Here is a 22,543-nt window from a genome sequence, read left to right as displayed (position 1 = left end):
GCAGCTCTGGAGGGCAGCTGCTAGTATCTCTCTCTGTCACAGATGACAGAAGCTAAAGCCCCAAGGGTTAAAATCACTTACCCAAGGTTGTACGGCAGCTCATTATAAGGGTCCAGATTCAAACCCAGGCCTAACAAGACTCAGCTATACTGTATCGCCAGTGTGGTTTTACTAAACCACACTGATTCTCAGGGTAGGGCTCTACCAGGAATCAAGTCTGTATGTTGCCTCTTAAACATTAAGAGTTTTATTGGAGCCAGGCGTGGTGGCTCACGCCTGTAATCCCAGCACTTTAGAAGGCCAAGGCAGGTGGATCACCTGAGGTCAGGAGTTCAAGACCAGCCTAGCCAACATGGCAAAACCCCATCTCTACTAAAAATACAAAAATTAGCCCGGCGTCATAGTGGGCACCTGTAATCCCAGCTACTCGGTTGGCTGAGGCAGGAGAATCACTTAAACCCGGGAAGCAGAGGTTTCAGTGAGCTGAGATCCCGCCACTGCACTCCAGCCTGGGCAACAGAGTGAGACTCCATCACTCACAAAAAAAGAGTTTTATTGGTGTTGCTTAGGCAGGGCTGAGGACAAGGTCAGAACTCCTAACTATTTTCCTTATCAGTTAGCAAGGGGCAATGGCAGCATAACCAGGTCTACCCAACATCACTACCTACGTCCTTCTACAGCCATGCGCTGCGTCATGACGTTTTGGTCAATGATGGACCACATATATGACGATGGTCCCACAGGACTGTAATACCACAGTTTTACTGTAACATTCCTATGTTTAGCTATCTTTAGATACATAAATACTTACCATTATGTTGCAGTTGCCTACAGTATTTAATGCAGTAACATGCCGTGCAGGTTTCTCCTCGCCTGAGAGCAATCAGCTACACCGTATCGCCTAGGCGTGTAGTAGGCTACACCATCTAGGTTTGTGTAAGTACGCTTTATGATGTTCATACAATGACGAAATCACCAACAACGCATTTCATTTCCCAGTCGCTAAGTGATGCATGATTGTACTTGCTTCTCTTCCGAGGGCTCCCTACATACCCTCTCAAGTTTTGTCTCCTTGGCAAGGAGAGGTGCTTCTTCTGGAACTCCCGTCTCCTCTTTGAGATACATAGATGAGTTATTCTAGAAAATTCCAGGATAGCCAAGGCCTTTCCCAGCAGCCACAGTGGAACAAGCTGGGACCACTCCAGTGCCCTTCCCACTCCTGGCTGGGAAGCACCCTCCCTCTCAAATGAGGATCGCAAGCACCAGGACTAGAGCCACCTCCAGTTTCTCCCTTGGGGACTCTGCCATCTTAGCCCAGCAAGTGGGCAAGTTCATGGGCCCTGTCTCCAAACTTACAAGTCTTACCAGGTTCTGGAGACGAATGTCAGCAGAGGGCTGTTGCTTTTAATATTTCCAGCTCCACGAAGCATCTGTCATAATGTCCTGTTACTTGTCCCTGGACCTGGCCTGATAAGTGAATTCCGCTACGATGGCCAACCTCTGCCAAACCCAACCTGACCAGTGGCCAACCTGAGCATCACGATGTTCAGCCCACTGATGGCTGCCTCCAGATGCTCCCTGAAGGGACAGGAAGGGAAGACTCAACCCAAGTTTATTTCCTCATAGATTGCTCCAGCCAGAGGTTCCCAAGGTGTGGGAAACACACCACTCACATACACAAGATGATTTTGGGTAGTAACAACACAGCTCAATAACATTGAATCACACAGTGAAAAGGTTATTCCTAACCAGGTGCGGTAGCTCACACTTGTAATTCCAGCCTAGGCAATATAGCAAGACCCCATCTCTACAAAAAATAGCAAAATTAACGAGGTGTAGTGGCATGTACCTGTGATCCCAACTATTCAGGAGGCTGAGGTGAGAGGATCACTTGAGCACAGGAAGTAGAGGCTGCAGTGTGCCAAAATTGCACCACTGCACTCCAGGCTTGGTGACAGGGCAAGATCTGGTCTCAAAAAAAGAAAAAAAAAATTGTACCCTTCTCAATTCTTTTTTGCATTCTTCAGATCACCAAAGAGAAATCTCTGTTTGAGGCAGGTTTATCTTTTAAAACTCTTTAACACTTGTTAATCTCCCCCCTGTAAAGAAAGTATTATTTTTGATTGACATATAATAATCATACTTATTTATGCAATACAGTTGATATTTTGTTTTTGTTTTTGTTTTTGTTTGAGTGTTTCCCAGGCTGGAGTGCAGTGGTGCAATCTCACCTCAGTGCAGCCTCCACTTCCTGGGTTCAAGTGATTCTCCTGCCTCAGCCGCCCAAGTAGCTAGGATTACAGGTGCCCACCACCATGCCTGGCTAATTTTTGTATTTTTAGTAGAGACAGGGTTTCACCATGTTGGCCAGGCTGGTCTCAAACTCCTGACCTCAGGTGATCTGCCCACCTCAGCCTCCCAAAGTGCTGGGATTAGAGGCATGAGCCACTGCGCCCAGCTCAATGTGATATTTTGATACATGCATACAATGTGTAATTCTCAAATGAGGGTAATTAGCATATTCTTCACCTCAAACATATATCATTTCTTTGTGTTGATATTCCCTTATATGTGTATTTTTTGTTTCTTTGCATGTACTGTATTTGTGTAGTTATTTTATTTATAGCCATTGATGCTGCTTTTATTTTATAGGAGTGATAATGGATGATTGGATGCAGAAAATATATTTTAAAAAGAAAATAAAATTTATAGGAGTAAATACAATTTCCTTTACAAACTCAAATGTATAAATTTTAAATGAGTGTGTTTATAGACAAACAATGAGTAACAGTACAGGACATAGATACTGTACAGCAACAATAATGACGATGGTAAACAAATCGCTGAACATTGTCAACTGCTGCTCACAGGAGAGGGGCTTCTCATCAGGACCCCTCTAGAACAAATCCACAGGCATCTGCCAGACTTGACATCCGGAGGGTGGCGTTCAGCAGTTTCTGCCCAGCAGCCAGACTGCAGCCCCTCACCTGCATGACAAAAGCCTCCCCTCCTGAGGTTTGGGTGGGATCTGGGGACTTTCGTGCTGAGAGTGGTTTGTGCCCCCAACAACCAGAGCAGCGAGTGGAATCCTGGGGATCCCTCAGGCCCTCTAGTAACCCTTATTAGATGAGGAGCACTAGTGATTGGTACTGAGTTCCTAGAGAAGGTGTGGGCATGAATGGATGGGGAGACCTTTCTTTAGAGCCTGTGGGCCCGGTGCTATGCTCAGTGCCTTATGGCTGTTGGAGACCTTCTTATAGATAGCAGTCACTAGGAGCCTGGCCGGAAGCTTTAGGTCAATGTTTTTAAAAGTTTTTTCCTTCATCTTCTGGTATCAGAATCACTTATTTAAAAATATATATATCTGGGTTGGGCACACTGTCTCTTGCCTATAATCCCAGTACTTTGGGAAGCCAAAAAAGGGGGTTCAGACCAGGTGTGGTGGCTCATGCCTGTAATCCCAGCACTTTGGGAGGCCGAGGCGGGCGGATCACTTGAGGTCAGGAGTTCAAGAGCAGCCTGGCCAACATGGCGAAACCCCGTCTCTACTAAAAATACAAAAATTAGCCGGGCATGGTGGCACACGCCTGTAGTCCCAGCTACTCAGGAGGCTGAGGCAGGAGAATCATTTGAACCCAGGAGGCTGAGATTGCAGTGAGCCGAGATCACACCACTGCACTCCAGCCTTGGAAACAGAGCGAGACTCCAACTCCAAAAAAACAAAAGAACAAAAATTAGCCAGGCATGGTGGTGCACACCTTTAGTCCCAGCTACTCGGGAGGCTGATGCAGGATAATTGCTTGAACCCAGGAGGTGGAGGTTGCAGTGAGCCAAGATCACACCACTGCACTCCAGCCTTGGCGACAGAGCAAGAATCCATCTCAAAAAAAAAAAAAAAAAAAATAGCCAGGCATGGTGGCGCACACCTGTAGTCCCCACTACTCAGGAGGCTGATGCAGGAGAATCGCTTGAACCCAGGAGGTGGAGGTTGCAGTGAGCTGAGAACCCACCACGGCACTCCAACCTGGGCTGTAAAGCAAGACCCCATCTCAAATAATAATAATAATAAATGTTAAAAGTTGAAATGTGGTTAATCCACATTTCACATTGTGGTTAACCCCGGACAATTCCAGGTTCCTGGGGCCCCAAAGTGTGTCGTGTTTACATGACCTCAAACTTCTAAAATCAGAAAGTGCCAGCAGCTGTGCAATGCTTCCTCAAAATGTCCCACTGAGTACTCACAACCATGGTTGAGTGTGAGCTTATGTTCTGGAAGGTCTAGTGTCTCTTAGGTTGGGTTTTGCCAGAAGCACCCTGAGGTTTGACAGTAAGTTTATTTGTGAGGTGATCCGGGAAGCACTAATAGGGAAGTACGCCCGTGATACAGGAAGGGAAGGAAGCCAGGACAGGGTGGGTTTTTTGTTGTTGTTGTTGTTGTTGTTGTTTGTTGTTTTGGGGTTGTGTTTTTTGAGACAGTCTTACTCTGTTGCCTAGGCTGAAGTGCAGTGGCACAATCTCGGCTCACTGCAACCTCTGCCTCCCAGGTCCAAGCAATTCTCCTGCCCCAGCCTCCCAAGTAGCTGGGATTACAGGTGCATGTGACCACGCCTGAGTAATTTTTGTATTTTTAGTAGAGACAGGGTTTCACCATGTTGGCCAAGCTGGTCTCGAACTCCTGACCTCAGGTGATCTGCCCACCTTGACTTCCCAAAGTGCTGGGATTACAGGCCTGAGCCACTGCCCCCGGCCAGGACAGGGTGATTTAACAAGCAAATGAATTAACCCTGTGAGCAATGGGGGCTCAAATCTGCTGGAAATTGCTATGAAAATTAAGAAAACATGTATCTAAATTGTGCCACCTGAATGATGAAGTAATGGGTATTTATCCAACCAATTTCCATCTGTCACTAGTTGAGAGCTACTCCTAATGTCATTAAATCCTGGCACTTCCACCCTGCCCTTTATACAGGCTGAATATGTGCAAAGCCCTGGAGCAAGGCATCACAGTGCTTGCAAAAAGAAGCCACTAGCATGTAAGGCTGGGTGCAGTGGCCCATGCCTATAATCCCAGCACTTTGGGAGGCCGAGGTGGGTGAATCACTTGAGTCTAGGAGTTCAAGACTAGCCTGGGCAACATGGTGAAACCCCACCTCTTTTTAAAAAAAAAATTAGCTAGGCATGGTGGCATGTGCCTGTAGTCCAAGCTACTCAAGAGGCTGAGGTGGGAGCATTGCTTGAGCCCGAGAGGCAGAGGTTGCAGTGAGCCAAGACTGCCACTGCACTCCAGCCTGGGTGACAAAGCTAGACCCTGTCTCAAAAAAAAAAAAAAAAAAAAAGGAAAGAAAGATAAGAAAAGAAAGAAAGAAAAAGAAAGAAAGAAAGAAAGAAAGAAAGAAAGAAAGAAAGAAGGGAGAAAAAAGGAAAGAAACCATTGGCATGCAAAGTAATGGGAAATGTCTAGCAGGTAGTGTGCAGATAAATGTTTAACAACTGGCTTTCCAGGAGGAAAAAGCCTTAACCTGTTGCAGTTACCAATGTCTGTGGTGTAAATATTCCTGCTATAGCCAGTTTCAAGCTGCTAACATATCATTGAAAGCAGAGTTGAGATGTTATGAGCACAACTGGTTCTCATGTGTTGATGATACAAGACAACCAAAGACCAGCTCTGGGAGGGAGAAAAACAGCAGGGCAATTACAGTGTCTCCCACAGGTGCAACCAGAGAGCTCTGCTGCAGACATAGAGTCTCATAGTTTTATGGGACTTCCTGCTCCATTCCATCTTATATCAATGTTTGAACATCTTACCATGAAAACAAGCTTACTCTTAGAATCTTCGAATGCATTCACACTCTAGGAAGGTATATATTGTTTATTATTTTTACATCGTCTCTTCCCTACTGCATCAAGCCCCATCATCCTAGCATGCACCCAGGAAATCAGCAAAAACCCATTTAAGAGTCCAGACTTCAAGGGTCCCTCACAGTAATGGGCATCTCTTGTTTTGCCCGAGCAGAGCAGACCACTCGTTTCCCCTTATTCTGCTAATTGTATTTCATTTTCCTTTAAGCAACCACCTTTCACCCCATCCTGAATCCTCAGACCTTATTTCCCTGGCTCTAGGAATTAGCACATGACACAGGCCTGGCCACTCAGAGTGTTTCATTCCCCTAGAAGTAGAGATGAGACCCCAAACGGGTCAATGACACTCTCCACTTGGAATTATTGGAATAAGTAAATCTCTTCCCACTGGGTTACTGGGTTAGCAGGATAGAAGCCTGGAGCTGATGGTGGTCATCTCCATCACTAGGAAAGAGCCTTCCTGAAAATCAGGCTTACAGACAGAAAAAGCTGAGCTGGGAGATGGAGAATAACTGGAGCCTGATGACATCATTTGTGCCCTTGGATCCAGCTGTGCCTAAAGGCAGATACTTCTGGACTTTTTAATTACCTGAATTCATAAAATTTCTTTCTGACTTAAGTCACTTTGAGTTGGGTTTTCAGTGATTTGCAACTAAAATATTGCTGGCTGATTCACAGCTCTGAGACCAAATGAGATAGACCTGGTGTGGGGTCTGTGGTCTGTTAGGAACCGGGCTGCACAGCACAAGGTGAGCGGCAGGCGAGCTGAAGCTTCATCTATATTTACAGCCACTCCCCATTGCTTGCATTACCGCCTGAGCTCTGCCTCCTGTCAGATCAGCAGTGGCATTAGATTATCATAGGAGCCCAAATCCTACTGTGAACTGCACACCAAAGGATCTAGATTGTGCACTCCTTATGAGAATCTAATGCCTGATGATCTGTCACTGTCTCCCATCACTCCCATATGGGACCGTCTAATTGCAGGAAAACAAGCTCAGGGCTCCTGCTGATTCTACATTATGGTGAGTTGTATAATTATTTCATTATATATTACAATGTAATCATAATAGAAATAAAGTGCACAATAAATGTAATGCACTTGAATCATCCCAAAACCATCCCCTGTCACCCATCCGTGGAAAAACTGTCCCTGATGCCAAAAAGGTTGGGGACTGCTGAGCTAGACTTTAGTACACATCCTTCCAGCTTTCTTCTCTTGGCCCTAAATAGAGTTAGAAACGAAAATACAGTTTATTGTCGCCCTGCGTCCATGCGTCCATGGGGGCTTTGGATGAATTCCAAGGAGATACTGGTTGCAGGAGCAAGCCCAAGGCACAAACGGAGTCACTTCAGGATCCGGATGCTCATTTTTTGCTCAACGTCCATCTTCTCTAAGGACTGAGGGAAAAACAAATGGCAGGCAAGAGGCTTGACTCTCAGCTCTCCATGCTCCCAACCTCCTCCCCCAGGGTTCTACCCATTCCAGAGACCCCATCATTCCCAGGCAACCCCTATCTTTCCGCCCTCCTCCGTTGAACGTTTCCCAAGTCTGTCTGCCCCAGAACTCCTGATCTCAACTCCCCAATCCCCAAGGGCACTCTGACCTTGGTGAACTCCACGAAGGACACAGCCCCATCCCCATCTTCATCAGCCTCCTGCACCGTGCGGTCAGCGATGTTCTCCAGCTGCTCTTCTGTCACCTGTACCCCAACCATCAGACGGAGAACCTGAGAGATGAGTGAAGAGGCAGCCATAAGGAGGGGGCACGAAGGCTGCAACTCCCCATCTCCTAAACCTTGCCCACCTCATCCCAAAAGTTATTGCTAATTTTATAATCCATCCTTCATCCATTTTTCACCATATCCCCCAATAATTTTCCCTACTGCTTCAACAACCAATCTCCTATCTCTCCCTCACCATCCTGCACTACCCTCAAAATATGCTCAAACTCATTACCCAACTTTATCACCCAACCTCCATCCATCCTCCACACCATTCTCCACCTTAGCCACTAAGGGTTTCTAATTCCATCCTCATTCCATCACATCTGTTCCAGAGTTTCTCAATCTTGGCACTGTTGACATTTGGAGCCAGGTAACTCCTTGTTGGAAGAGGCTCTCCTGGGTATTGCATGATATATAGCCACATTCCTGACCTCTACCCACTAGATGCCAGTAGCACACTCTCTCCCCCATTGTGACAACAAAAAGCATCTCCAGATATTGCCAGATATTCACTCAGGGAGCAAAATCACCCCCAGTTGAGAATCACTGATCTATTCCCAACCTCATAGTCAACTGCTCCCCACTCCGACTCCCAACAAACCCACACTCTAACTGCACCCATTCCCATTTCCCAACCAATACCCCAATTATCTGCGCCCCAGTTCCCCAATCATCCCACCCCATCTCTCACACCATTGCATTTAACCATCCCATCCTTCACACATCACATCTCTTGCTCTCGCTTTCTGCCAACCTGCAGCATCTCATGCCTGGAGATCTTCCCATCGCGATCCAGGTCATAGAGCTGAAATGCATCTGGGGAGAGGGTGGGAGGGGGAAAGGAAGGTAGGTCTTCCCTGGCTCTCTTCCAGCAGCCACCTTCCTTCCCCCCACCTTGGAGGAGGGGGGAGGTTGTCAATGCCCTCAGGAAGGGAGTGGGAGATCCCTGGAGCCTGTCCCTGGTGTGGGTACATCTGCATTCTCACTTGTGCAGGTCCTCACAAACTCACAGTGAAGTTTGTTCCTTCTGCTGTTGAGAGGTTCAGGTTTCTTGGGGTCTTGGGTTTCTGTGTCCTCATCTTCTACAGGGCGAAAATGAGCCAAGACCCTGACAAAGCCTGGGAAATCCACTCGCTGGCTCCTGGGGAGACGGGACAGAATGGAAAGAGGTGGTGGTCACCTTGGCCATCACTTTGCCTCCGTCTCTAACCTCCCCTCCCACCCACTCACACACCGGTTTTCCCGCCTTCACCTCCCCACGCCCAGCAAGCCTCACCCATCGGGGAAGAAGCTTTCTATAATTCGGTCTCCCAGGGGGTTCACGGCGAGCGCCCCTATCTGCTGGAGATCCATGCGGCTGCAAAGCCAAATTTCAAAGAGGGTAAGGCAGAGATGCCAGACGGAGGGTCAAAGAGGGACATGGAGTCAGAGAGACAGAGGCCAGAAGTTATGAGGCCGGCTCCCCCTCACCTCAGGTAGCCCTTCTTATTCCTGTCCAGTGCCCGGAACCGGTGGTGCAGGCGGAGCAGGCTGGCTTGGGAGACTGCGGGAAGGAGAGTGGGGTGGGGGTGTGTGACTCTGCAGGGCCAGCTCCAGAAACCCGCCCCAACAGGCCAGGAAGATGGGCCAGAACAGCGGGGGCTGGCTGGAAGGGGCGATCATCCCGGGGAATCAGGGGTTGAGCTGGCCGGGGCGGAGGGAGAGTGACACGACCCCGCGAAGATCCAGGTTCAAGACCCGGGCGGCTCGCAACCTCCCGAAAACCAAAGAACCAAAGCCATCCCTTCCAACCGCCGTCAGCTCTGCCTTCAGCTTCGAGCCGGGCTGGAGGACACCTGGGTGCCTGGATTCCTCTGGACTCCGACCCCGTGAACCCGGATCCTCCCCAGACTTGGAGGCTGGGACCCCTAGGTTAACCCGCCCCTAACCCAGCGATCCCAGGCACAGGGGCCTTGGTCTTCCAGCTCCGGGGAGCCCCGGACCCCAGACTTGTAAGTTCGTCCATCCTTCAACCCAACCCCTTCCCTAGCCCCAGACGCCTGGGTTCGCCCCGTCCCCTCCGCAGCCGCCGACGCGGGCGCACTCACAGCCGGTCTCTCGCCGAATACTGTCCCCGTCGGGAATGACCGCGGCGTGGGAGCTGCGCGACCCCATGGCCGAGCTGGAGGCGGAAGGGCCGGAGCAGCCACCCGGACCCACGCGTTCTCTCCTCCCGCCGGAGAGGCGTGGCCGCCCCAGTGGCCCCAGGGGGACGAAGGCCACAAGCCTGGCGCGCGGCCAAGCTCCAGAACCCCGGCGTGCCTCTCCTCCCACCCGCGACCCGGGCGAATGGAAAACAATGTGCAGGGTGGCGGGTCAGAGGGAGGCTGCGAACAACGGGCTGTTTCAGCTCCGAGATTTTGCGATCCGCACGGGAGAGGCTGGTCGAGTCCCAGGCCCCGCGTTTCCACGCCTCCCCCGGGGCCGGTTCCCACGGTGCGCCCTGACACCTGAGCCACCTCCTCCTTCGCGGGCCCCGGGCGCTCCCAACCCCAGGGCGCTCCCCGGCGTCGACGCTGAGGAAGCCTGGGAGACCTGACCTCCTCTGTAGAGACCACGCCCTGCTGGAAGGCGGGTGGCCTATGGGGAGGGAATCCTGGGGGGAGGGGGGAAGAGGCATCGAAGAACTCCCAAAGACGGGGAAGTGGGGAGGGGCGGCGAGATGAAGGGTGTGCGTTAGGTTAAGTGGAAAGAGCACTGGTTTGGGAGTCCTTGTTGGAATCCCAGCCGTGCCCGTGACTCTGGGAAAGTCAGTAAATCTTGGTTTCATCCCTTTTGTTCGGTTCACATTGCCTTATTGTTGTTTAATTGAGCCAATGCTTAAAATTCAGGAGATTTAACCCAAAATCCACATTCTTGGCTTTTCCTGAGAAATCAGAAGTTCTATCACCACCAGGCCCAGAGCTGTCTTCTGGCCACAGTCCCTCCAAGCCCAATTCACTCCCTTAGGTACCTACTGATCCCGTAGAGCTCCAGACTGGGAATGACTTAGTCCTCTGAACAGCCCTCCAGAGCCATGGGACTCCTTGGCCCAAGAGAGGGTTACAGACATCACTGGGACTAGGCTTAAAGCAAGAATGACAACAAGGGCTCTTGTTTACCACGCTTTGCTAAGCACTTTACGTGCATCCGTTCACACATTCCTTGTAGGCCCTGCTGGGCTGCTTTCTTCTAATTTTACGTGGTGGAGGCTGCCGGGGGCAAGTTGTGAACTAATTATGTAAAGCGTGCATTCTCAGTGCGGTCTCTATCTCACCCCAACGGGGCAAAAAATAAAACATATTTTTTATGTACAAAGCACAGCATACATACAGCACATAAATAGATATACAGTATAGCTGTGATATTGAAATTTCAGGGCAGACGTGGAGGCTCATGCCTGTAATCCCAGCACTTTGGGAGGTAGAGGCAGGAGGATTGCTTGAGCCCAGGAGCTCAAGACCAGCCTAGGCAACATAGTGAGACCCCATCTCTACAAAAGAATACAAAAAAAAAAAATTAACCAGGTGTCGTGGCACATGCCTGTAGTCTCAGCTACTTGGGAGTCTGAGACAGGAGGATCACTTGAGCCCAGGAGGTTGAGGCTGCAGGGAGCCATGATCACGCCATTACACTCCAGCCTGGGTGACAGAGTGAGACCCTGTCTTGAAAAGAAAAGAGGCCGGGCGCGGTGGCTTATGCCTGTAATCCCAGCACTTTGGGAGGTCGAGACGGGCGGATCACCTGAGGTCAGGAGTTTGAGACCAGACTGACCAACATGGAGAAACCCAGTCTCTACTAAAAATACAAAATTAGCTGGGCGTGGTGGTGCATGCCTGTAATTCCAGCTACTCGGGAGGCTGAGGCAGGAGAATCGCTTGAACCCGGGAGGTGGAGATTGAGGTGAGCCTAGATCGCGCCATTGCACACCATCTTGGGCAAAAAGATCGAAACTTGGTCTCAAAAAAAAAAAAAGAAAGAAAATAAAATTTCATGGGGTAGGGGTGAGGGTGGGGAAATTAAAAAGACTAGGGGAGGCGTTGATAATGAAAAAAAAACAGGTCGAGAAACTCATTTGTCAAGGGACAAACACTAGAAGTGTCCACTTTTGAAAGTATCTTTAAACCGTTTCCCCCATCATAATTGCACATACATACACAAATTTCCCAGGGGGGAAAACATGCAAGCAGTTCATTGCAAGGGCTCAAGTTCATATCCACCCTGGAGAGAGAGAAGCTGAAGAAACAGTCTATCCTCCAGCCCCAGGCAGAGGCCTGCATCAGATAAGTCTTGAAAATATTGATCTAAGAAGTGCTTGCTTCTTTCAGATACCCCCAAGGATTAAGCAACTGGCATAAGGAATGCTTGATTCTCTTTCAGACTCCCCCCAAAGACTAAGCATGCGGGAAACCACACTCCTCCCTAATGAAGCCCAGCAATCACTGCAACCCACAGCTGTGAGTCAGGCTGTGCATGTAGTTTGGGTTCAGTTCTGAACCCAGGAGGAGATGAGAGCCCTAAGAAGCTGTGATAAGCACCGCAGGCCAGCTTGGGATGCTGATCTTGGAAAGGGCTTCTCCAGCCTTAATATTGGAGTCAGTGCTACACCAAAGTAAATTAGGCCGGAGAGTAATTAGGAACTCCCATGCACACATCATACACAAGCTTTTAAGAGAGGGCTGGACCAGGCACAGTGGCTCACACCTATAATGCCAGCCCTTTGGGAGACTGAGGCGGGCAGACCATGAGGTCAGGAGATTGAGACTATCCTGGCTAACACAGTGAAACCCCGTCTCTACTAAAAATACAAAAAATTAGCTGGGTGTGGTGGCAGGCGCCTGTAATCCCAACTATTTGGGAGGCTGAGGCAGGAGAATCACTTGAACCTGGGAGGCAGGTGTGGCAGTGAGCCAAGATCACACCACTGCACTCCAGCCTGGGTAACAGAGCAAGACTCCATCTCAAAAAGAAAAAAAAAGAAAGAGAGAGAGAGCAGGCTATGCTAGAACTCATTTCTGTTTCATGTACACAAGTGAGACTTAAATCAACTTCACAGTTTTTTCAGGTCATTTAAGCGGGAAGATGCTTTGGGGAAAATTTTATCTGCAGAATCTGTTAGACTAGAGTCAGGAGGAATATTTGGTTTTTGCTTTTCAGCTATGTAAAAGTTGCTAGTCATTCTTTTTTTTTTTTTCTTATTTAATTTTTTGAGACAGAGTCTTACTCTGTTGCCCAGGCTGGAGTGCAGTGGCGCCATCTCAGATCACTGCAACCTCTGCCTCCTGGGCTTAAGCAATTCTCCTGCCTCAGCCTCCCTAGTAGCTGGGATTACAGGCATGCACCACCACACCTGGCTAATTTTTGTATTTTTAGTAGAGATGGGGTTTCACCATGTTGGCCAGGCTGGTCTCGAACTCCTGACCTCAAGTGATCTGCCCACTTCGGCCTCCCAAAGTGATGGGATTACAGGCATGAGCCACCACGCCTGGCCGCTAGTCATTCTTGGTGAAGGTTCAACTAGAAGAATGAACATCCAGGAATAGTCAGGAAAATACAGAACAATTAGCACTCAATAATAAAAAGATAAATGACCCAACTTTTTAAACGGGCAAAGGACTTGAATAGACATTTCTCCAAAAAAACATATATGTTTAGCCAATAAGTACATGAAAAGATTCCCCACATCATTCGTCATCAGGGAAATACAAACCAACCACAATGAGATATCACTTCATACCCACTAAGATGGCTGGAATTAAAACAAACAAAAACAAGTCTTAGTGAGGCTATGAAAAAGTTGGAAGCCTCATTCATTGCTGATGGAAAAGTAAAATGGTTCAGTTACTGTGGAAAACAGTTTGAAAGTTTCTCAATACACTAAACAAAATTACCATGTGACCCAGCAATTCTGCTCCTAGGTATACACCCAAAAGAATTGAAAATAGGGGCTCAGGCCAGGCACAGTGGCTCACACCTGTAATCCCAGCCCTCTGGGAGGTAGAGGTGGGCAGATCACTTGAGGTCAGGAGTTCAAGACCAGCCTGGCCAACATAATGAAACCCCATCTCTACTAAAAATACAAAAAAATTAGCCAAGCATGGTGGCACGCATCTGTAATCCCAGCTACTTGGGAGGTTGAAGCAGGAGAACCACTTGAACCTGGGAGGCAGAGGTTGCAGTGAGCCGAGATTGCACCACTGCACTCCAACCTGGGCAACAGAACGAGACTCCGGCTCAAAAAAAAAAAAGAAAGAAAGAAAGAAAGAAAGAAAGAAAGAAAGAAAGAAAGAAAGAAAGAAAGAAAGAAAGAAAGAAAATAGGAGCTCAAACAAAAACCTGTAGTGAATATTCATAGCGACACTATTCATAACAGCCAAAAATTGGAAATAAGCCAAATGTTTGACTGATGAATGGATAAGTAAAACATGGTATATTGATACAACGGAATATCATTTGGCCATAAAAAGTAATGAAGTATTATATATGCCACAAAATGGATGAACCTTGAAAACTCTATGCTAAGTAAAATAAACCAGTCACAAAAGACCACGTATTATATGATTGCACTTACATGAAATGTTAAGAATAGGCAAACCCGTAGAGACAAAAAGTAGGTTAGTGATTGCCGAGGGCTAAGGGAGGTAGGTGGGAGTCAGGGATAATAGCTAAAGTGTACAGGGTTTCTTATTTTTTCTTTTTTTTCTTAAGACAGGGTCTCCTATCACCCAGGATGCAGTGCAGTGGAGTGATCATGGCTCACCACAGCCTCAACTTCCTGGGCTAAGATGATCCTCCCACCTCAGCCTCCTTAGTAGCTAGGACTATAGGCACATGCCATCTCAACTGGCTAATTTTTTGTTGTTGTTGTTGTTTGTTTTCTTGTAGAGATGGGATCTCACTATGTTCCCCAGGCTGTCCTGGGCTCAAGCGATCCACCCGCCTCTGCTTCCCAAAGTGCTGGGATTACAGGTGTGAGCCACTGCGCCTGGTCCCAGGGTTTCTTGTTGAGGTGATGAAAATGTTCTACAATCGACTCTGGTGATAGTTTGGTTGCACATATCTGTGAATGTAATAAAATCTATTGCATTGCATGCTTTAAATGGGCAAATTGTGTGGTATGTGAATTATATCTCATTAAAACTTTTTTAAAAGAAAACAGCACAGAGAAGACAGTCAAACTTGACTCTCCAGAGGAAATAAAAGTTGTAACAAGATTTCTGTAGCTGAACCTACAGAGGGATCTTTTTTTGTCTTCTTAAAAACAAACTATAAAACAAAAAAAAAATTTGAAAGAAAAAAGTAAACAAAAAAATAAAAATTAAAAACAGAATAGCCAGGAAAGCTCTGGGACGAAAAGTAATGAGGGTGGGTGACATCAACATCATTAGTCATCAGGGAAATACAAATTCCTCTACCAGGAATAGAGAGGTAAGAAACAGGAATAAAGGGCCAGGCGTGGTAATCCAGAACTTTGGGAGGCCGATGCAGGTGGATCATGAGGTCAGGAGTTCAAGACCAGCCTGGCCAACATGGTGAAACCCCGTCTGTACTAAAAATATAACAACTAGCCAGGTGTGGTTGTGGGTGTGTGTAATCCCAGCTACTCAGGAAGCTGAGGCAGGAGAATTGCTTGAACCCAGGAGGCGGAGGTTGCAGTGAGCCGAGATCGCACCACTGCACCCCAGCCTGGGAAACAGAGTGAGATTCCATCTCAATTAAAAAACACACACACACACACAGAGACAAGAGGCCTTGTGTAGTGGCTCACACCTGTAATCGCGGCACTTTGGGAGGCTGAGGCAGGTGGATCACTTGAGCCCAGGAGTTCAAGACCAGCCCAGGCAACATGGCAAAACTCTATCTCTACAAAAAATACAAAAATTAGCTGGGCATGATGGTGCACAGCCTGTAGTCCCAGCTACTCAGGAGGCTGAGGCGGGAGAATTCTTGAGCCCCGGAGGTGGAAGTTGCAGTGAGCCGAGATCGCAGCACTGCACTCCAGCCTGGGTGACAGAGCTAGACCCTTTCCCGTGTGAAAGAAAGGAAAGAAGGAAGGAAGGAAGGAAGGAAGGAAGGAAGGAAGGAAGGAAGGAAGGAAGGAAGGAAGGAAGGAAGGGAAAGAAAGAAAGAAAGAAAGAAAGAAAGAAAGAAAGAAAGAAAGAAAGAAAGAAAGAAAGAAAGAAAAAGAAAGAAAGAAAGAGAGAAAAAGAGAGAGGGAGGGAGGGAAGGAAGGAAGGATGGAGGGAGGGAGGGAAGGAAGGAAGGAAGGGAGGGAGGGAGGGAGGAAGGAAAGAAGGGGAGAAAGTCAGAAATATACCCAAATATATATGGAAATTTGGCATTTGATAAAAGTAACATTTCAAATTAGTGACATTCAAAAATGTCATTTGGGTCCTCTCTCTGTCTTTTGGGAGAAAAAAATAAGGCTGTACTTTACCTTTTTATACCAAAATATAATAAATTCCAGATCGAATAGAGATTTCAATGCAAAATGAAACCATGTAATACTAGAAAAAATCTTGGGTAGCTGTTCTTATAATACTAAACAGAAGAAGGTCTTCTAAATATGAAACAAAACAAAGAAATCATAAAGAAAAGATTGACATGGCCAGGCACAGTGGGTCACACCTGTAATCCCAGTACTCTGGGAGGCCAAGGAGAGTGGATCACTTGAGCCCAGGAGTTCCAGACCAGCCTGGGCAACATGGCGAGACCCTGTCTCTACAAAAAATACAAAAATTAGCCGAGGATGCTGGCACTTGCCTGTAGTTTCAGCTACTTGGAAGGATGAGGCAGGAGGATCGCTTGAACCAAAGAGTTCGAGGCTGCAGTGAGCTGTGATCACACCACTGCACTCCAGCCTGAGCAATAGAGTGAGACCCTGTCTCAATTAATTAATTAATTAATTAAAAGTTTGACAAATTTGAACTACATGAAACTTAAACCTCCGTATGGCTACATATATATATACATACACACATATGTATATACGTATGTACATACATAAAAATATGTATATACGTATGTACATACATAAAAATATGTATATGTAAAAGATAAAAGACAATCCAATAGGAAAAATAATTGGGATAAGATGTAAAAGAGGCATGGTCAATAAGGATAAAAAGACACTTAACCATACAAAGTCTAAAATACAAACTGAAACAATGGACTATTACTAGCTTAGATATGTTCAAAACAAGCAAGCATGAGTCACAAAAGTGTGGTAGAACATAGTGGAAGGGTTTTTTTTTTTAGACGGAGTCTCGCTCTGTCGCCCAGGCTGGAGTGCAGTGGCGCCATCTCAGCTCACTGCAAGCTCCACCTGCCTGGTTCATGCCATTCTCCTGCCTCAGCCTCCCAAGTAGTTGGGATTACAGGTGCCCGCCACCATGCCAGGATAATTTTTTGTATTTTTAGTAGAGATGGGGTTTCACCATGTTAGCCAGGATGGTCTTGATCTCCTGACCTCGTGATCCACCTACCTTGGAGGATGTGATAATGCAATTTCTGTTTTGCTGTTGTTATTGTGTTTGAGATGGGATTTCACTCTATCACTCAGGCAGGAGTGCAGTGGCAGCTTCTCAGCTCACTTGCAGCCTCAAACTCCTGGGCTGAAGCAATGCTCCTGTCTCAGCCTCCTGGGTAGCTAGGACTACAGGTGCACACCACCACACCCAGCTAATTTTTTTATTTTTTGTAGAAATTGGGTCTTGTTATGTTGCCCAAGTTGATCTTGAATTCCTGGTCTCAATTAATCCTCCTGCCCCAGTCTTTCAAAGTGTTGGGATTTGGGGCTTGAGTCATGGTACCTGGCTCCAATTTCTGTTTTAGTAGCATCACAAGAATCACACTGGCTGCTGTATGTAGACTTCACTGGGCAAGATGAAAGCTGGGAGACTATTGTGATAATTAAGGTAAAAGATGATGGTGGATTGGACCACAGTGCCAGCAGTGGAATGGTGAGAAAGGGTCAAATATGGATCCTATTTTGAAAGAACAGCCTGCAAGATTTGTTCATATATGGAATGTAGGCTGTGAAAGAAAGAAATCAAGGATGACTCCAAGATTTTTGTCCTAAACAACTGGAAGTTGCCATTTGCTAAGACGGTGAAGAGAGCAGAAGAAGCACATTTCAAGGGGAGAGTTAAAAAAAAAATCCTTGAGCTGCCTGTTACACATTCCAATAAAGATATTAAGTAGATTATTGTATATGGGTGTATCAGCTTCAAGAGAGAAGTTGGAGCAAGAGCTATATAGTTTGTATGTTGTGTTTTTGTTTTCATTTGTCTCAAAGTATTTTCTAATTTCCTTATGACTTCTTCTTTGATCCACTGGTTGTTTAAGAGTATGCTGTTTAATGTCTACATATTTGTGAATTTTATACTTTTCCTTCTTTTATTGATTTCTAATTTCATTCCATTGCAGAAAAGATACATTGTATGATCTCAGTATTTTTAAATATATTGAGATTTATTTCGTGGTTTAACATATGGATTATTCTGGAGAATGTTCCATGTGCACCTGAGAAGAATGTATGTTCTGCTGTTGTTGGATAGCCTGTTTTATGTATTTTATATATGTCTGTTAGGTCTAGTAGGTTTGTAGTGTTGCTCAAGTCCTCTATTTACTTATTGATTATTTTGTCTAGATGTTCTATTCAATTTTGAAAGTGGGGCATTGAAGTCTCCAACCATTATTGTAGAGCTGTCTCTTTCTCCCTTCAATTCTGCCAATATTTGCTTCATAGATTTGGGGGATTTGTTGTTTGGTGCACATATGTTTATAATTGTCATCTCTTCTTTGTGAATTGACAAGGCTATATACATGTGGGGGTTATCATTGTATAGTTGGTATTAAAACTATGGGACTGGACAAGATCACCTGGGATGTCAGTGAAGAGAGAAGAGAAGTCCTAGGATTGAGTACTGATGATCCTCTAACATCAAAAAGTTGGGAACAGGAGAAGGAGCTGCCAAAGAAGCCTGAGAAAAAATGGCCAGTGACGGGAGGAGAGTCAGGTGTGTGGTTTTTCAGCTCAGTAAAGAAAACGAGTCTGGTAATAAAAGTCAATACAAAATCCATAACTTGTAGTTTATGGCTCAAATGTGGACAATCATGGTAATTTCTGGGGTCATGTGTATGATGTGGTTTTCCAAATGAGGACTGAAAACATCCATCTCCCTTCTGCTCACTAATGCCAAGCTGGGTGCTACTGGGCAGTGGTGGGGTTGGTTCCATCAAGAGTTGCATTCTGTGTAGGGCTGTACTCAGTAAAAGACTGACATGTTTTCTCTTCAGAGCTCTCCAGGAAAGCTAAATTTTGCATCAAGACTGGTATAAATCAGAACCCAGTGGGGTGTACTGTCCAGAGTGCCTCAAGGCCTAATAGGATGGCAACACAAAAAAACTGAACATACCCCAGTAGTACCAAGTCACTGTTCTTCTAGATCTTCAGAATTTTGCCCATCTGGGAAGGAAAGGAATCCCTGAACTAAAACAAACTGGTTTTTTACGAAGAAGACTGGAGAATTAGGTTTGCAAAAGGCATAAACCAGGACAGTTTTGGGGGAGCTTGACAGCAGGAGTCGTCACAGGAACAGTGCAAGAATGACCTGACTGACCCAGCCATTCCCTCCTAGGTATATAGAAAGAAATAAAAACTTATAGTCATGCAAAAACTTGTACACGGATGTTTACAGGACCATTATTCATAACAGCCAACAGTGGAAACAACCAACAGCTCCCTCGGGTCTTTTTTATAAGGGCGAAAGTCTCATTCATGAGCACTCCACCTTCACAACCTAATTACCTCCCCAAAGCTCCACCTCCTGATAACATCACATTTGGGATTAGGCTTCAACATATGAGTTTTGCTGAGGGAACATGAACATTCAGACCACAGCAGATGCATTCCAGGTGAGGTGCCTATTAGACATCTAAACTGGGTTTAAGAACACCTCCAAGGCCGGCTGGGCACGGTGGCTCACACCTGTAATCCCAGCACTTTGGGAGGCCGAGGCAGGTGGATCACAAGGTCAGGAGTTTGAGATCAGCCTGGCCAACATGGTGAAACCCCATCTCTATTAAAGATACAAAAAATTAGCTGGGCATGGTGGTGCACACCTGTAATCTCAGCTACTCGGGAAGCTGAAGCAAGAGAATCACTTGAACCCGGGAGGCGGAGGTTGCAGTGAGCTGAAATTACACCACTAAACTCCAGCCTGGGCTACAGGGCGAGACTCTGTCTCAAACAACAACAACAACAACAACAACAACAACAACAACAACAAACACCTCCTAACATTATCCCTCCTCTTCCCTTCCCTCCCCTTGCCCTCTCTCTTCCCCTGTCTATTCTCCACAGGGCAGCCTGAGGGCTTTCTAAAGAAGTGCAACCATTTCACAATGGCCAGTTGTTCTTAGGAAACTTTTGAGTTCCAGAGGCAGAAACCAACCTCAACCTAGATTAAGGAAAGGAGAGCATGGATAAGCTCAAGCCAAAGGGAATTCTAGGGGAATGTACCTCAGGCACAGCGAGATGCAGGTGTTCAAACAATGCCATCAGGTCGCTGTCTCACTTTCTTTCTCCATTGGCTGTGCTTTTCTCATTTTCAGACAGACTCTCCACCTGCCTACAAAGATGGTGCCCAACATCTCCAGGCTGAACTGGTCCTTAGTACCTTGGATCTCAGAGAGTAAGAAGTGTCTCTCTCTCCCCCAGGATCCAAACAGTCCCAGAAAAGGAACTCACATGCTCACTTCTAAACCCATCACCGAGGGGCCAGCTGGGGTCTTACACTCACCCTTGTGGTGGGGAAGGTGAGGTCTCCTTTTTTGCATCCTATTTACCAATCCTGATTCCTATGGGACCCACTGCTGCCCCCTCTTTTTTTGTGCATCTTCCAGAGTTGTTCATACATATGCAAGAAAATATAAAAAGAGGCCGGGCACAGTGGCTCGTGCCTGTAATCCCAACACTTTGGGAGGCTGAGGCGCACAGATCACTTGAGGTCAGGAGTTCAAGACCAGCCTGGCCAACATGGCGAAATCCCATCTCTACTAAAAATACAAAAATTAGCCGGGCATGTGTGGAGGAAAAGTTAAATATTAAATTTGAACTCAATTGAAAGTGGACACAAACAATGGTCACCAAGTCCCAGAACAGGTTGTATGAGCCCCTTGATGCATTCATCCAGCGCTGTTTCAGGAAAATCTCTATTTTAATCTATTCCTGTATGTTAGTTATTGAAAAACAACTGACCATTGCAAAAACAAGTTGATCTTTCTGTGTTCCTTGAGTCCAGTCGCGAAGGGCTGTCGTGACTGGGCCTCATGCCAAACAACTCATTACAAAAAGAGCTAGGGTCCCAGACCACGCCGAAGCTTCGTGAGACCTCTCCTCGTCTGTGCACAGATGGGTGGCCGACTCTGGAGCCCAGGCTGTTGCTTCCCGGTCTAGTGATGAATCCTCCATAGTCTGTTGAGTGTAAATTTATATATCTTTTCCCTTCTCCCCTTCCCATTGCAATTTGCTTATTATATCAATTTGCTTATTATATCATTTGCTTATTATATCTCCATTGCCATTCACGTGGGGTAAAGGTTGTTTACCCTTAAAGGTAGTGTGTGTGTCTTTTCTTTTCCCTTTGTGCGTTTCCCACACAGAACAGCGTGGTGGCAGGCACCTGTAATCCCAGTTACTCGGGAGACTTGGACACTTGAACCCGGGGGACAGAGTTTGCAGTGAGCTGACATCGCGCCACTGCACTCCAGCCTGGCCACAGAGAAAGACTCCATCAAAAAAAAAAACAAAAACAGACAGTAAAATATATAGGGATGCCTCCTATGAGAAAGGAATCTTTTCCAGAAGTCTCTCCCAAAAGACCTCCCCTTTTCCCTCATTTGCGGAGATTTCCTTACATGCTCATGCAAAAAGCAATCATGAGCAAGAAAAATGTGCAACATGAGAATCACCTGGTATGTTTAAAAAATACGAGATATGGGGACCCAATCTCAGACCAATTAAATCAGAGGCTGAGTCAAAGGGTTCAGAGACAGCGGCAATTAGCAGCAAGACTAAAAACTAAAACCAGGTCATCCCCTGCAGGAAAAGAAAAAGGGTGGGGAAAGAAGCGGAGTGGAAGAGAAGAACAAAAGGGATGGGGAAAGGGAGGAGGAGTGAGAGGATGGAAAGGAGAAAAACCAACTATGTCGCCATCCTCTGGTGGACGTAAAGGGCAGGTCCTCAACTCTGTTCTTTCTACTTACTCATTTGAGAAACATGTGCTGGATGCTGAGATTAGAGCAGTAAACAAAAGACACACAGTCCCAGACCCATAGAGCTGAGTCCAATGGAGGAGGTAGACACTAAATATATTCAGTCATTCATTTATTCAACAAAGATTTACTGAGCACCTACTCTATGCCAGGCACCATCTTAAGAGCTGGGATATGAGCCTGGTGTGGTGGCTCACACCTGTAGTCCCAGCACTTTGGGAGGCCAAGGAGGGAGGATTGCTTGAGGCCAGGAATTCAAGGCCAGCCTGGGTAACATAGCAAGACCTCATCTGTACAAAAAATGTTTAAAAATTAGCTGGGCGTGGTGGTGTGCACCTGTAGTCCCAGCTACTTGGGAGGCTGAAGTGGGAGGATCACTTGAGCCCAGGAGGTCAAGGCTGCAGTGAGATGTGATCGTGCTACTGCACTCCGGCCTGGGTGACAGAGCGAAATCCTGTCTCTTAAAAAAAAAAAATAGATACAACAATTTGCATTAGAAACAAAACCAACTATCAACATTCCACAATGTTATGGTGACTATATGGTTTTCACAAACTGGCATTTGTTAGTTCTTTGGGAAGAAAAAAATGTTCACTCCAAGAATCTCCTCCAAAAGTACTCAATGTCTCTAACCCTGGCACAAAACAAATGGCAATTAT

The 22,543-nt window shown here is 46.5% G+C and overlaps 1 protein-coding gene across 1 annotated transcript, besides 1 other annotated feature; it reads right to left on the bottom strand.

Annotated features, from left to right (window-relative positions):
* Nucleotides 1-5,854: 5,854 nt before the first annotated feature.
* On the bottom strand, nucleotides 5,855-9,764 carry CHP2 (calcineurin like EF-hand protein 2). Its single transcript, NM_022097.4, has 7 exons — nucleotides 9,674-9,764; nucleotides 9,057-9,129; nucleotides 8,863-8,943; nucleotides 8,597-8,727; nucleotides 8,341-8,402; nucleotides 7,467-7,589; nucleotides 5,855-7,260 (listed from the first exon to the last, which is right to left on the bottom strand). The coding sequence occupies exons 1-7, from the start codon at nucleotides 9,738-9,740 to the stop codon at nucleotides 7,207-7,209; spliced, it is 591 nt and encodes a 196-aa protein (NP_071380.1). The 5' UTR covers nucleotides 9,741-9,764; the 3' UTR covers nucleotides 5,855-7,206.
* Nucleotides 9,231-9,876: an enhancer, noted in NCBI's record as "H3K27ac-H3K4me1 hESC enhancer chr16:23766235-23766880 (GRCh37/hg19 assembly coordinates)". NCBI's record gives its function as "activates a minimal SCP1, AML or CMV promoter by ChIP-STARR-seq in naive H9 embryonic stem cells {active_cell/tissue: H9 hESC(naive)}" and the evidence as "EXISTENCE:reporter gene assay evidence [ECO:0000049][PMID:30033119]".

The sequence above is a fragment of the Homo sapiens genome, chromosome 16 (genome assembly GCF_000001405.40).
Source record: "Homo sapiens chromosome 16, GRCh38.p14 Primary Assembly".
Lineage (NCBI taxonomy): Eukaryota > Metazoa > Chordata > Mammalia > Primates > Hominidae > Homo > Homo sapiens.
Note: the sequence above shows the minus strand (reverse complement) of the source record. Positions and strands in the feature narration are given on the sequence as shown.